General features: G+C 46.5%; 1 protein-coding gene across 55 annotated transcripts in view; it reads left to right on the plus strand.

Annotated features, from left to right (window-relative positions):
- NFASC (neurofascin) overlaps positions 1–16,514 on the plus strand; it is a 194,171-nt gene that overhangs the window by 31,648 nt on the left and 146,009 nt on the right. For 28 of the 55 annotated variants that reach the window (XM_011509322.3, XM_011509321.3, XM_024454297.2 and 25 more), the window contains exon 1: positions 10,563–10,771. The exons of 26 other annotated variants lie outside the window; for them this stretch is intronic. In XM_011509322.3, coding sequence (XP_011507624.3) covers positions 10,740–10,771 — 32 coding nt within the window. In that variant the 5' untranslated portion in view covers positions 10,563–10,739. Of the gene's footprint in view, positions 1–9,776; positions 9,840–10,304; positions 10,402–10,562; positions 10,772–16,514 lie in introns of those variants that run through there. One more of the 55 variants, XM_047449947.1, reaches the window with a different exon arrangement.

Raw genomic sequence — 16,514 nt, forward strand, 5'->3', positions numbered from 1 at the left:
ATGCCTGTCTCTAGTCCTCATCAAAAAGCATTTATGAAAGGCCTGATAAGTTTTGGTGTGGTGAGAGGTCAGGGCACATGGGCTGACTGTCACTGGAGTGTGGGCCAGTGTCCCCTGTGCCACCCTCACTTGTCTGCCACCTGTGAGGGTCTCAACACTGCTGCCTGTGAGAGCTGCCAACCAGAGCCATCAGCTGCTGCTCTCCCATACCAGAGCTCTCCTAGCAGAATTTAGCACAGAAATTCTGCCCACTTCTTTTTTCTTTGGGGAAAAAGGTAAAATACACTTAACATAAAATTGGTTAAAATTTACCGTTTTAAAGTATGCAATTCAGTGGCATTTAGTACATTTACAATGCTGTGCAACCACCACCACTATCTAATTCCTTAAGACTTTTATTACCCCAAAAGGAAACCCTCTACCAATGAAGTGGTCACTTCCCATTCTTTCTTCCCTTTAGCCCCTGGCAATCATTAATCAGTTTTTTCTCTATAGACTTGCCTATTCTGGACACTTCATGTCAGTGGAATCATATAATATATGGCCTTTTGTGGACTTAGTATCATGTCTTCAAGGTTTATCCACATTGTAGCATGGATCAGTTCTTCATTCCTTTTTGTGGCTGAATAATACTCAATTATCTATATATGGCACATTTTTATTTCTCCATTCATCCATTGATGGACCATTTGGGTTTTTTTTTCTACCTTTGAGCTATTGTGAATAGTGTTGCTATGAACATTTTTGTGTACAAGTTTTAGTTTGAATACTTGCTTTCCTTTTTTTTTTTTTTTTTTTTTTTTTTTGGAGACAAGATCTCATTCTGTCATCCAGGCTGGAGTGCAGTGGTGCAATCATCTGTCACTGCAGCTTTGACCTCCTGGGCACAAGCAATCCTCCCACCTCAACCTCCTGAGTAACTGGGACTACAGGCATGCACCACCACACCCAGCTAATTTTTGTATTTTTTGTAGAGATGAGGTTTCTCCATGTTGCCCAGATTGGCCTGCAACTCCTGAGCTCAACTGATCCACCTGCCTTGGCCTCCCAAAGTGCTGGGATTATAGGTATGAGCCACTCCACCTGACCTGAGCACTTGCTTTCAATTCTTCTGGGTATATACCTAGGAGTGGAATTGCTGGGTCATATGGTAATTCAACATTTGGCTTATTGAGGAACTGCCAGACTCATCTCACTTCTTTTTTTTTGAGACGGAGTCTCGCTCTGTTGCCCAAGCTGGAGTGCAGTGGCGTGATCTCAGCTCACTGCAAGCTCCGCCTTCAGGGTTCACGCCATTCTCCTGCCTCAGCCTCCCGAGTAGCTGGGACTACAGGCTCCTGCCACCACGCCCGGCTAATTTTTTGTATTTTTAGTAGAGACGGGGTTTCACCATGTTAGCCAGGATGGTCTCGATCTCCTGACCTCGTGATCTGCCCACCTCGGCCTCCCAAAGTGCTGGGATTACAGGCGTGAGCCACCGCACCCGGCCTCTTCTCACTTCTTGACACATGCCAGTCTGTGTCTTCTTTTGAGCGAGTGGACAGCCTCCCTGTACCCACTCCAGACTCATGAACTTTGGCAGCCACTTTTGGTTGGTTTCTGGTTCTTAGCCTCTGGTCAAGACGCAGTGACATGGGTGGACACAACATGGGGATCTAGCATTAACAATGGGGTGATTTCTAATTATTTTTAGTGGTGTTACCAGATCTTATTTACTCATACATGTGCTGTCCTCTGAAACTGTACCATGTTGTGGGCTGCATATTTGTTCCTATAATGAAGCCAGTGCTCAAAACCTTGTTTCATCCTGTGTAGGAATAGCCTTCAGAGTTCTTGCCTTGATAATCATTCTTTGCTTTTGACACTAAACAGTATTCCCAACTGCATCACCCACCATCTTTCCCATTCTTGGCTCTATCTTTCAACTTAAGAAAAAAAATTACCATCTACCCTCATAGGATAAAGATTTGTCACCATGGGGTCCCATCAAAAGAATATACTGTAGGCTTGAAAGCAGTTCCAAAAGAAAAGCTTCTGAAATGTTCTAAGCACTGGTGGGTGCATTGTTGGAATATGTATATAGCTTCCCAAGGGGACTTCTTTGAAGGAGACAGCACTAATTTAAATGTATAAATTCTGGTGTGTTCATTTAAAAGATCAGCTGGAAGGCTTTATAGGCATATAATAAAAAGTCGATGTGAATGGTTATTGAATTATGTACACCTCCAGGAAATCAAAGAAAGAGTTTTACTTTAGGAGTTTTAGAGAGATCAAGTTTAAAATATAACCTGGGAGTTTGGTGGGATGGTTAACACAAAATAGTATTACCCAGCTGCTAGAGAGGAGAAGGGTCAGTGGGGAGACCAAAGGCTTGGAACAAGCATCTCATCTTCATAAGGGTTAGGAGGTCACTTAGGTAGTCTGGCTAGGAAGGGGAAGTTGCTATTTTTATTATTCTTTATCTTTGGAGGGCAGTGTGAGGAGGGAGGCTGGTGAGAAGTACAGGTGAACTGGAACCTTGGTGAGTTAAGTTTTTAAATTTTTTAAATAGCACATCTCTTGCTATAGCCTAGACTACTCAAGGCTTCCCTGTAAACTTCAAATATTTTAGCCAGCTTTGGAAGCCTGGCAGAGAAGCTTTGGACCAAGCACTTAGGCCAATGTGCTGGGTGTGTTTGACCTACTGGATGTGGTGCTTTTCCTCCTCGTTCAAAAACTAAAGTCAGCACAGAATGGGGTAGAAGTAAAGTCATCTGGAGAGTAGACTGGAGGGAAGTGATGGGTCAGAGTTTAGTCTGGTTCTTTCGAGATTTCAGAGGTACACTGGAGACTGGTGACACTGTCCCTATTTGACAACCAGGCCTGGGAAGTGGATGACAGGGTCAGCGGAATTTCAGAGCCAAGAATAGATCCCCAGCTCCATGCCATCACCACAGTAACTCACTCCGGAGTTTGAAGAATATCGCCCTCTGGGGAAATAGCGCTTCTGAAAACTGTTTCATGTCTTTGTCTCATTTATCCCAGCAATCATTTATTTGGGGTCAGATATTGATGGATTTGACAGCAAAGCAGTGAAGGATGTTGCAGTGATTTTTAAAAACATTTTTATTGTGATGAAACACAGTTGTCTATATAATAGAAAACTTGCTATTTCAACCATTTTGTAGACATACAACTCAGTTACATTTAGTATATTCACAATGTTGTGTAACCATCACTACTTTTCTGTTTCCAGAACGTTTTCACCCCAGACAGAAACTCTGTAACCAGCCAGGCGCAGTGGCTCAGGTCTGTAATCCTAGCACTTTGGAAGGCCGAGGGGGGTGGATCAACTGAGGTCAGGAGTTCGAGACCAGTCTAGCCAACATGGTGAACCCCGTCTCTACTAAAAATACAAAAATTAGTCAGGCGTGGTGGCGGGTGCCTGTAGTCCCACTACTCGGGAGCCTGAGCCAGAAGAATTGCTTGAACCCAGGGGGCAGAGGTTGCAGTGAGCCAAGATCGCGCCACTTTACTCCAGCCTAGGTGAAAAAGCAAGACTCTGTCTCAAAAAAAAAAAAAAAAGAAAGAAGGAAAAGAAAGAAAAGGAAGGAAGGAAGGATGGAAAGAAGAAAGGGAAAGGAAAGGAGGAAGAAAGAGAGAGAGAAAGAGAGAAAGAAAGAAAGAGAAAGAAAAGAAAGAAAGAAAAAGAAAGAAACTCTATAACCATTAAGCATTAACTTCCTATTATCTACTCCTCCCAGCCTTTGGTAATCTTGAATCTACTCTCTGTCTCTACGAATTTGTCCATTACATTACATATATTTCACATAAATGGAATCATACAGTATTTGTTCTTTTGTGTCTGGTTTATTTCACTTAGCATAATATTTTCAAGGTTGAAATGTATCAGAACTTCATTCTTTTTTATTGCTGAATAATATTCCATGGTATGAATGCACACCGTTTTGTTTATCCACTCATCTGTTGAGGACACTTGCATTGTCTCCATCTTTTGGCTGTTGTGAACAATGCTGCAGTGAATATTGTATATAAGTACCTGTTTGAATTCCTGTTTTCAGTTCTTTTGGGTATACACCCAGGAGTGAAATTGCAGGGTCGTATATTAACTCTTATGTTTAACTTTTTGAGAAACTACCAGACTGTTTTCCAAAGTGGCTGCACTATTTTACATTCCCATCCAGCAGTGTACAAGTGTTCCAATTTCTCCACATCCTCACCAACACTTGTTATTTTTCATTTTATTGATTATAGCCATCCTCTACACATCCTATAGTAGGTGTGAAGTGGTATCTCATTGTTTTGATTTGCATTTCCCTATAATGATTAATGATATTGAACATCTTTTCATGTGCTTCTTGGCCATTTATGTGTCTTCTCTGGAGAAATGTCTGTTCAAAGTTCCTTGCTGTTTTTAAATTGGCTTTTGGTCTTTTGTTGTGGTTATTGTTGTTGGGTTTTAGGAGTTCCTGATATAGCCTGGATATTAAACCCTTATTAAGTGGAATAAGCTGTATCTTCACAGCACAAACCCTCAGCCTACCCTAGAGAACCTTGGGATTTGCATCTGTTTTCTCCCGTTCTGTAGGTTGTCTTTTCACTTTATTGATAACATCCTTCAATACATAAAAGATTTACATTTTGATGAAGCCCAATTTATCTCACCTTGTTGCTGGTGCATTGGTGTTACATCTAAAAGTCCATTAACAAACCCAAGGTTATGAAGTTTTACTTCTAGTTTTCTTCTAAGAGTTTTATGGTTTTAGCACTCATATTTGGGTTGTTGACCCATTTTTGACTCAGTTTTTATATATATTAGTGCCCCTTTATCCATGAGGGATACATTTCAAGATCCCCAGTGGTTGCCTGAAACCATGGGTAGTACTGAACCCCATATATACTATGTTTTTTCTTATGCATACATAGCTATGTTAAAGTTTAATTTATAAATTAGGCACAGTAACAGATTAACAGCAATAACTAATAATAAAATAGAAAACTTATACTGTAATAAAAGTCATGTGAATGTAGTCTCTCTCTCTCAAAATATCTTAATGTACTGTATTCACCTATTTTCAGACCACAGTTGACCTTGGGTAACAGAGACCTCAGAAATCAAAACTTTCAATAAGGCAGGGGGGACTACTGTAGTGTGAGGTTTGTAGTTTGGGGTATAACTTCATTCTTTTGATGTGGAAATACAGTTTTCCTAGCACCATTTGTTGAAGAAACTGTTCTTTCCCCATTGAGTGGACTTGGTACTCTTGTCAAAAATCAGTTGACCATAGAAATATGGGTTTATTTGTGGACTCTCAATTCTATTCCATTGGTATGAAAGTTTTTCCTTATCCCACTACAACACTGATTTGATTACCATAGCTTTGTAGTATGTTTTGAAATCAGGAAATGTGAGTCTCTGACTTTATTCTTCTTCTTCAAGATTGTTTTGCCTAGTTGAGGCCTCTTGCAATTTCATATGAATTTGAGTATAATCATTCTTGAGCATAGTGCTGGCTTCTGTTGGCTGAATACCCAGAGGTAGAACTGTGGGGCCACAGGATAGAAGTATGTTCAGCCTTAGTACACACCGGCAGTTTTACAAAGTGATTGTGCCAATTTACCCTTCTGCCAGCAGTGTATGGGAGTTCCATTTGTACCACACCCTTATCAATATTTGATATGCCAATCCTTTTGTAAAATTTAACCTTTCTGGTAGACTGCCCTAAAATTATGAGTCAAACATTGCTATCTCCTTCAAGGGGCAGCCAAAGTGCAGTCATCCACAACTTTGCTCAAGTGGACTTTCTCCTAGCACTGGGTCTTGGAGATTGCTTCTTGCTTCCTTCCCCATCAGCAGCAATCAGGGTCTAGCTCAGGTCCGGAGGCTGGAGCTCTGGCTGGTGGAAGAGGCAGAATAAGCTGTATCCTCACACTGCCAAACCTCAGCCCACCTGAGAGAATCTTGGGATTTGGAGTGTGTGCGTAGTGGGGGCAGAGAGGATGATCAAGGGATGCTAAAGGAAAAATGGTAACTGGATGCCGTCTTGGCTGCAGGAGTTGGATATGATTCCAGTGTGGATGGGGCTTTTGGAGCTATGCCGAGCCCTTGAGAGGTCAGTTCTTAGGTAACCATGCTTCCAAGAATTAAGAAGCTGGCAGACCTGTCTCATTTGACCTTGAAAAGGCTCTTTCAGCTACCGATCCTGAGTCCAGAAAGGGTAAAAGGCTTTTCCCAGCCCTACAGCACCCTGGGGCTGGAAACTCTCAGGCCTGTGCCTTATACTTGCTCAGCTCTAAAGGCCCTGAGGCAGTGAGCACTCTTTCCACTCACAGCTTGCTGCATAGGTGAACTCAAGTTTAGTAAACATTCACTGCAAGCCTGTGTGTGCAATACATCAAACTAGGCACCTTGGAAGCTGCAAAGGACATAATATGAACTCCCTGACTATAAGTTTTTCATCATCTGGTAGAGGAGGAAATATCTGCACATATCATTACAATGAATCTTTGCTTAGTGATGGAGATACATAATGTCCTTTGGAAGCCAGGGCAGGAGAGTTCATGTCCCACCTTGAGAGATTTGGTGTACCATATCCATGGTTAGTGCGTGGACATGAAGGGTTGGATTGGCTTCCTGGAGGAGGTGGCATTGGTACTGGGCCTTAGAGGATGAATAGGATTTGTTGGGCAAATTTTACTCCAGAGATGGAGTAAAGGAATTGTAGGCAAAGAAACAAAAAAAGCAGCAGTGTAGATGTTACTATCCTGGACATTTGGAGAAAAACAGGTGCAGTCGGATTACTGAATGCTGACAAGGGGGGACCCCTAGATGTCAGCCTGGAGGAGCTAGATTTGATTTTGCAGAAACAGGGAGTCCCTGTTGGATTTGCACATGGAAGATTTATTTAGTGTTGCTCCTAATTGGAGAGCATTCTGGTAACAACAGGGAGACCATGGGACTGCTCCACCCACACAGAAACAGAAATACAATACCCATATCCAGATAGGCATATGTGCCCACAAACACACATACAGGAACTAGGACAAACAAACACACTGAGACCTAGAGACCCACATATCAAAACACATAGTCATACTATCAGAACTCACCACACACACACACACACACACACACACACACTACACAATCCGTAAACCCAAGAAAACACATATTCAATACCACACACATGTCCTGAATACCTATAGACACATGAAGGCTGACAGATGCCCACATGTACTGAGTCACACTAAGGCACACACATATAAGTCAGATAGATCCCCTGTGCCTGATATACACAAACGCCCACCAAGCCTGGCAGGTATACATGCACATTTAGACTTATACATACACCAACACGCTTACACACACACACACGGCCAGAACATGCTCACACTCACTGAAGCCCCTCCCCAGAGACACACATGCTATCTGCGCACTCATGGTCACACGCTCATGCATAGGCACAGCCACAGGCAGACCCACATAGCAGCCACTCCAAGCAGAGACAGAGACAGGCCCTGGCGGGTACCGACTCAGCCCATGGCTGCCTGGTGGCACCTCACACCCTCCTCCAAGGCTCTCTTCTAAATGACTTGTCTCTTGGCTTCCAGCCCTGGGTCATCCTGGGGTCTCAGCCCTGGACAGGCCCTCGAGGCAGTCACATCCTACCTCCTACTCAGTGCTGAGATTTCTAAGCTCCTCTGACAGGGTTACCCAGCTTCTGCTTAAATATTTCAGACAAAATACTTTGTGGTGACAAGTTTCCCGTTGTAATAGCGTTCACTTTCCACGCTGGGAAATGGGGATTATGCACCCAGGGATGAGACTGGACCCTTCACTGCAGTAGTTACAGTCAGTGAGCAAATCCAGCTGGACGGCCTCTGGCCTGCTCAGTCCACCCTGTCCCCAAGTCCCTGTGGGCTGCACTTGGCCACAGGATCAACAGTTCCCCTAAGTCATTGTATTGCTGATCTCTTCTGGTGTGGGAGAGCAGGTGGGCTGGATGTGGCACACCAGACCTCTTTGGAGGGAGCTGTGGCTGGCAGGGGAGTAAGCCTTGGGGAATCGGAGGAGCACGACCTGGCTGCCCTGCCTAGGATGCCTAGGACATGCTGGCGCTCTCCCCCAGGCAGGCCAGCTGTTACTAGAGCCACTCTGCATTGGCACGGGCTGTCCTCTGTGAATGTGACCCACATTCAGGCCTGCCCAGCAGCTGTCTTCCCCTACCACATTCCTCTTTCTGGCTGCCAACCCCTCCTGGCTTCCTGTTCCCTATCGGCATTAGGCTCCCTGGGTTGAGAAAGGGGCTGCTGTCCACAGGTGGCTTTGGGAGATGGGCTGGGCAGGTGTGGCTGCCTCTATGAGGAGAAAAGCCGCAGGAACTGCAAAGCGATGGCTTCCAACACTGAGCTGAGCTCAGAGCAGGCAGAGAACAGGAGGCAGGAGCATGGGGGCAGCTACCCTCTGGGTCTGCCCACCCCTCCAACCCCCAGGCCACCCAGCAGGGGGTCATCTGGATGTCACCTGATTTTCTCAGCATTTTATCCCCTTTTGTTCCGCTTCAATGTGGGATCAATCTGATCTCTCCATTAACCCCTCTGTACCTTGCTGATATGGAAAAGGGCTGCCTCTTCCGGGGCAGAACTTTGCCCCTGACCTGGGCTGCTCACTCTGTTCTGGCTCTGAGTCTTAGGGCCAACGCCTTCCATCCTGGTTGTGCCTTTCCCCTCTATCCTTCCCATTCCCTTACAAACTCCATTAGCCCTGTATTCATTATAGGCAAGAGAAATGGCTCAACAGGAGCCCCTGTGAAAAGGCCAGATGGGGGCTAGATGTGGGGCTGGAGGGAGCCAGGGTGGGAGTGCGGGTTGTTGACTTGAAGCTCAGTATGAGCCAATAGTGGGATGTGGTGGTTGAAGAGGCATCACAACATGAGCCTGTCCCAAAGGGCTGCCCCGTGCACCCTGTGTGGGGAAATTATGCCCTGCCCTGGGCGCCATACCACAATGAGTACTTTATCTTGTTAACAAAAGTGATTTATGTTTACATTGCAGAACACTTAGAAAAGATAAATAAACACAAAGGGAAAAAAAGCAAATTATCCATAATTTCACTGCTCAAAGATAGTCATTCTTCTCCTATATTTATAATCTGTTTTTTACTCAATCTTCCATTTGATTAAAATATTTTACTATATTATTTTATCATTTTGATAAAATATATCATATTTCATTGCTTATGAGAGTATTAAGAGTACAGGCCAGTTTCTTAGCATTTACCATATGTATTAGGTACTGTCATTTAGAGAATCTTTGTACTCAAGTTGACTGTGATCCCAGTTGTACAAATAAGGAAACTGAGGCACAGTTTCCCGAGGCTCGCCTGCACTAAGTAACTTGCCCAAGGCAACATGGCCAATAAATGGCAGAGCCAAATTTTGAACCCAGGTCGCCTGCTCCAGAGCTCTTATAATCTCCACACTATACTGACTTTCAAACCATGGGCGTGCCATAGTTTGTTTATCATTTCCTGTAGTGATGGTTGTTTAGGTTGTTTCTAACTTTTTCTTATCATTATAAACAATATTCTGCTGAATATTTGTGTGACTTAAATATTTTAATTATCTTTGATTATTTAAGATCCATTCCCAGAAATGGAATTTATGCAATGAAGGGTATAAACATTTTTAAGATGTTTTCATGTTTTTCCAAACTCCCTTCTGGGAATGCTGTTATCAGGGGACGCCTCCTCCAGGAGGGTAGGAGAGCTGAGCCTTACACTCTAGGAGAATCTCTGACCCAGTGAAGTTTGTCCATCTCAGAGGAAGCAGGACAATGTGGTGAGTGGAAATAGTTTCATCAGGGGAGGTTGAAGGGACTGGAGATATTTAGCCTGCAGAAGATAGGGACAAGGGCCACACGCATGGCTGTAATCAAATGTGTAATGGGCTGTCAAGTGAAAGAGAGAGGTTTGTCCTGAGGCTCTCGAGCAGAAGTGGACCAGGGGACCAAAGTTGCGGAGAGCCATTGTTCTGTGCGGGAGCCATTGTCCTGTGTGGGGCCAGCACACAGCCCTGGATGGAACAGGGTGGGTATTACATAAAGGTTACATGACCAGCTGCCACCTCTGGCTTGGGTTCATGGAGGACGTGTGCATGGGGGAGGGCCAGGACCACCCCCGCCACACTGTGCTCCCCTACAAAACATGACGTCTCTGAATCTTAACAGGGGGGTCTGCTCCCCACCCCACCCCCGCCTTGGGGAGCCTGGCCCGGCCTGGTACGTCTCTCTGTCTATCCCCTCAGGAGCACAGCCTGGCTTGTGTCATGGGCCACACAACTCTTCCATTATGCATGAGGGAGACCCAGCGGTGAGCGAGTGAGCAAGCCGGCCGAGGGAGGGGTGAGTGGTTATTAATAAACAAGTGTATTGTGTGGCGTTCCATTCACGGCACTCTCAGAGGACGTGGTGGGCTTGAGATAATAAAGCCCTGTTTATGCCACGGAGGGCTGGGGAGGTGGCCGATGGGGGTGACAAGGAGCAGGGAAGCCAGGAATTATTTTGATTCCACCCAGGGCAGGGCTGCTGTGTTTTCTCTGAGGCCAACTTTCAGGGAAAAGAAGGATCTTGCTGGGATTTTGCTCAGGCCTAAGTCTGCCAGCTGGGATGGCCTGGGGCCTAAGAAATGCCTAGCTTCCCTCCCCACCTGTCCCCATGGAGGGAGACTGAGAAGACGCTGGATGAACCAGACCATGGCTCCTTCAGGAGAGAGGTAGGATGGTCAACTCTGCCCTCCCTCTTGGCCTCTCATCCTCACCCCATTCCTCCTGCTTTGGCCTTCAAAGACTCTGAAGCGGTGTGTGCTAGGATTGTGCATACTTTCCCAACAAAGCTAAGACTGTGGTTGTGCACAAGGGCTGCAAGAATCTTCCCGGCCCAGGGAGTGGATTGGTTGGGGTTAAGATCTGAAATATGAAGTAGGCAGGCTTGAAGGGGAAAGAGGTGGTGGTACTGGTCTCCTGTCCTAAATGAGCTGAAATTTTAGGAGGAAGAGAGGCCAAGGACAAGGCTCCAAAGCCCCTGTGTGGGTGGGCAGGGGAGCTTTGATTTGAGGAATGAGGGTGTCTGGAAAAGTGAGATGCCGGAGAGCATTTTAGAGGAGGGAGACTCAGTGTTGTGCGTCTAATTGTGAAGCCTGTGTTAACTCTGTGGCGTGTCTCTGTCCTACGTTAGTCTTCTCCTGTTCCCTCGTTTGGCCATTTGCTCTGGGCTCCACCATCTCAAACCAGCTGTCTCCCTCCTGAGTCTTGGCATTTCTGGATCTCAGGATCTCAGGCCAGGAATGCAGAAGCTGCTGGTTGGGAGGAAGTGAGAATAGTCCCTTTTGCTCTCAGCTGGCTTCTAGGGATGGAGAGCAGTTTCTGGGTCAGGAGAGCCTTGGTTTCCTGTCACTTCATGCTAAACCAAAACAAGAGTGAAGACAGAGCCCACACAGGCTTATGTCACCTGGTCTGGCTGATGATGTTCACTTTGACCTTTGGAGGTGGCTTTGGTCCAGAGCTACCCTGAGTTAGGAAACTCTTTCATGTCAAGACAGCTCTGTCTACAGAGATGTGTACTGGTTTGTTGTTGGTTGGGAGGGAAAAAGGAGGCTGATGGAAGGGACAGTCTGTCTTGTCCTTTGGGTACAGGGCTCCCTGAAGCAGGGGTTTGGATCCAGTGACTTTAAAGTTTTGTTTGGGTTGAAGATTCAGTGACCGTACTTAACCCAGGAAGGTTCGAGGCTGCATTAGGGCCAGAACAAACTGATGATCCCAGGTTATTGGAGTATTGCCTCCCTGGCTCAGACCAATTCAACCTTCCCAGAGGCAGTCAGACCTCACCCCAGGACAGAGTGTCAGGAGCATTGCGGAGTGCTCCCTCAACCCTATGCACAAAGCAAACGGTACAGTTTTCCCTGAGCATCACGCATCCCAGGCCTGAGTGCCGCAGGGTGATGAGGAGGCTCTACAGAGAATTGCAGCTCCTTCCTGGACTCTCCTTGGCTCCCACAGGCACTGTGGACACTTGCTTCCCATCTCCCTCCCACGGTCTGAAGGAGCAGTGACTATTTTTAGAAGCATCTGCATGCTCCTGGGAGCACTGTTTCTGTGGTTTATTGCTGGGCTGAATGCACAGGAGCTGGTGAGACAGCTGGGGCTGGGGAGCGCAGGCTTGTGTGTGGTCAACTCAACCGCAGTCAGCCGGCTGGGCACCTGGCCTGGAGGAATGACCCAGTGTCCTCCACCAAGCTTTTTGGGGGCTCCTACTGGCTCTGTTGTAACATTGTCATTTGCTGTGGGAGGCTTCCTGGAAGATGAGGGCCTTCATCATAGAGTTGGGCAGGCTGAGTCATCCTTGGACAACCCTCTCTCTGAGGCTGATGTGCTCAGGGTGCAACAGGAGGAATTGGTGAGATGGCCTCCCCCAGTGATGGCAACACCATCAACAACTATAATCACAATGGCTCTTCACTGAGAGCCTTCTCCATGGTAGGCAGTTCTCTGAGCATTGGATGTTTGTCCTCATATAAACCTTTCAACAACCTATGCTATCTTCATTTTAAAATCAAGGATCCTGAAACCCAGAGAAGTTAAGCATGTTGCCTGGTGTCACACTGTCGGTGACTGAGCCAGGCCCAAGAACCTGTTCTTTTAGAGCCCCTATGCTTGGAGTCTCTTGGAGCTTGCTGCCATGTTGCCTCTCAGTAGAAGACAATAAAGTGGGTTATTTTGGTGTCCATAAGAAGGACTGAGGTCAGATGCAAGGAAATACTTCCTGACAGTGAGGGGGGCTATGTGAAATGTTCTTCCTTCCAGGCACCTTGCATTTGAAAGGCACCTTGCATTTCAGAGGGGAGCTCTCTTGCAGGCTGGACTCTGGATTAATGACCACTCAAGACATTTTCTCTCTTGGGATTTTGGCAGCTCTGTTTTCTGGACCCTGGGCCAGCAGTGGTCTGCCATGAAAGATGCTGGACCATGTGTCAGTAAGAACAGGGAGCAACCAGCCAGCAGCTCTGGGTACACCAAGTACCTGGCTGGGATTTGGAGTCCTAGGAAAAAGCCAGGGAGGCCAGAGAATCCCCCAGGCTTAGAGAAGAAGCCCGAGAGAGAGAAACCACTCCCGTGGTTTAGTGGACATTTCATTTCTGCCTTTGAGTCAGATGTGCCTGTTCACCCAGAAAGAAGCCTTTGGCTTCTGCTGGGGCCTCTGTTCCTGGGCCTCCCACCACAGAGCACACAAGGAGCTGGACAGATCCCGGGGAAGGCTTCGTTCTTTACCTAGGACACAAGCATCTGCGGGTCATGTGTGCTAGGGACAGCTGCTGGGGGCCTTCCATTCTGAGGCAATGAAGAAGCCAGAGAAAAGAGCCCCTCAGTGGGCTTGGTGAGCCATCTGGATGGGGATGGGGGACTCTTCTTTGCCAACCAGCTGGGCTGCTGTAGCTTTTACTTCCCCTCTGTCACCCTGATCTGTACCATGGCAGCAGTCTCAGGAGAATGTTCTGGGGGTGGGGTACGGGCTGTGTCTTCTCCCTCCAGGAGCTGCAGTGGGGAGCAGGGCAGCTAACACCCTGCAAGTAGCATGGCACAGTGGGTGGACAGGTGGGGTTGGAGCCAGACTGCGGGGGAACAGTCCCAGTTCAGCCCCTAGCTGGGTGACCTCTGGTTTCATCATCTGTCAAGTGTGATATTAATAGCACCTGCCTCTTGGATTTTGAGAAGATAAATGAACTAATCCATGAAATCATTAGCACAGGAGTAGGAAGGAGGAGGCTCTCTCTGTCCAGTCCTATGCAGCCTTTGTTCCCCTTCGTTCCTACCCAGCCGAAATCTTCCTGCGCTGGGGGACAGGCCCATGTTGGAGGTGTCCTCACTGTGTCTCCTGCCGCTGGGCTTGGCTCAGGTTAAATAACCCATGGTCTCCATGTTGCCTCCTGCTGCCACTCCCTTTTGTCGTAGGAGCCAGTGCAAGACCACATGCTAAATTCCAGTTCTTCTGCCCCCTGGGCTGCCTTTCGCCCCATTTTGGGTCTCTGGAGGTGAGCATCGTCTTCTGGTGTACGCCAGGCTTCTGACTTCCTGTTCTTCCTCACAGCTCAGTAGTATCTGGCTGCTTGGGGGCCTGGGAGTGGAATCACGTGGCTTTATTCCACCCGCTCTGCCCTGTGACAGGCTCTCCAGGGCCCTGCCCCCGGTTCCCATTCCTGCACTTCCAACCCACCATCCTGAATCTACTTCCCTCCACCCTCGGGCCCTGGGTCCTGATGGCATCTGCCCCAGATCCTTCCCGCCTCTGCCGGTGCCCTTCTACCCTCCCCACCTAGGCCTGGGGCCTGGTCTGAATGTCATCTTGGTTTATACTTCTCAGGGATTCAAGCACACTTTGCATGCCTAAAGCAAACTTCTCTTGACATTTAAAGGAGGGCCCGGTGATAGAGTCAGCCCCACATTTATAATCACTTCGGAAAAGGAGAGGTAACTTTCCACTTTGCTGTAGACTGAATAAGGTCAAAATGAGAGGGGTGGGTGGTGGGGGCAGGTGGCATCATACTTTCTGGCTACCCTCAGTCACTGCTCCATTCTTTGATATGTCTTTATTTAGTCCCTCAGTAACCTAATGGAGGCAAATACCACAATCCCCATTTTATAGATGGGGAAACACGTTAAGTGACTTGCCTAAGGTTACACAGCAATTAGGTAGGAAAGTCAAGATTTGAGTGTGGGTCTGCTTTGTTGTTGTTGTTGTTGTTGTTGTTGTTGTTGTTGTTTGAATCATTCAGCCTCTAGAAGAAAGTGGGTTGGATAAGGTGCTCATATTGATGTAGACACATCTGCATTTTGATTATCCTTAAGCTGGATTTCTGAGTGTGAACAAATCCAAATCTCCTGTTCACATTGCATCTTCCTCACTCCCCATCCCTTGGCTATGGGCCCTTCTCTCATAAAGAGGCCTGGGAGGCACTGAAGGGAAGATGGGAGACCCCAGCCTTCCACTGTTTTCCACTGGTCTAACCTCCAGGTTAGACCAGGAGCCTGGCAACACTACTGAGGCTGTCTGCCTCCCAGAAGTCACATGTGCCTAAGAGGTGACTATATTTTGCTGGAGGAAGTGGAAAGAAGAACAGAGTAGGGAATCTGGAGGTGCCTGAGTCATACGGGATTAGAAAGTTAAGGTGCTTCTTTTCCCTAAAAACAGTCTAGGAGGGAACATTCTGCAAAGTGATTGCAGATTGTCGGGAGGCCTCGAGGGCTGGAGAGGTGCAGTCCAATGAGATTGCTTGGATCTCCAGGCCCGGGTTCTCTTCTGAGTGCTCCCCTGCCCTTTCCCCCCACCACGCCCCTCAGGTCCCCTGCTGTGGGTTCTTTGTAGGAGAAGATGTAAGTGACATGGTAATGGCCCTAAGCACACACCAGAAGCCAACGGTAGATACCAGCCACCCTGTTCCTCCCCACTCCCACAAATCTCCAACCAAGACAGGATGTTATTAACTAGTTTTTGAGGGAACATTTGGAACTCTAACTTCTATCAGACTGAGGAGAGGTCTGATAGGGTCTTTGTTTGACTGACTCTGAAATTCCAGGGTTGGTGGGGAAAAGTGGAAGGAGGAGGGGTCTGCAACCCTCTTAGACTCAGCCTAGAATTGCCTGGTAATACACAGTCATTTGGGATGTATTGTCTTCCTTCCTAAGCCTTTAAGATAGGCCTCCTAAATTACTAGTGAGGCATGGGGCGCTCTTGCTTTATTTCTTAGAGATTTTTTGTTTGTTCATTTTTGGTTTTTTCTCAACTTTGAAAATCAACTGTATCAAGGTATAATTTACACTCAATAAAATGTAGTCATTTTAGAGTACAGATGCGTTTTGACAAATGTATATGCCCCATGTAACCACCACTCCAATCAAGATGGAGTATATTTCTATTGCCCCCTAAAAATCTCCTCATCCAGTTTACAGTCCACCGCCACCCCACAGCCCCTGCATATTTTAAGGATACTTTCAGCTCTAGGGAAAAAAAGATATAAACTAAAGCCAAAATTTTGCCATTATGATATATCTTTCTTTTCTTTCTTTTGTCATTATTTTCTTATTTCATCATGGTAAAATATGTACAACATACAATTTACTATTTTAACTATTTTTAAATGTACAGTTTGGTGGCATTAAGTACATTCACTTATTATATAACCATCATCACTACACCCATCTTCAAAACCCTTTCATGCTCCCCAACTAGAACTGACCATTAAACACTACCTCCTCATTCTCCCCTCCTTCCAGCCCCTGGCAACCGCCATTCTACTTTCTCTCTCTTTGAACTTAGCTACGCTAGGAACCTCAATAAGTGGAATCATACAGTATTTGTGCTTTTGTGTCTGGCTTATCTCACTTAACATAATGTTGTCAAGGCTCATTATATTGCAGCAAGTATCAGAATTTTATTCCTTTTCCAGGCTGAATAATATTCTATTG

This window comes from Homo sapiens, chromosome 1, assembly GCF_000001405.40.
Source record: "Homo sapiens chromosome 1, GRCh38.p14 Primary Assembly".
Classification (NCBI taxonomy): domain Eukaryota; kingdom Metazoa; phylum Chordata; class Mammalia; order Primates; family Hominidae; genus Homo; species Homo sapiens.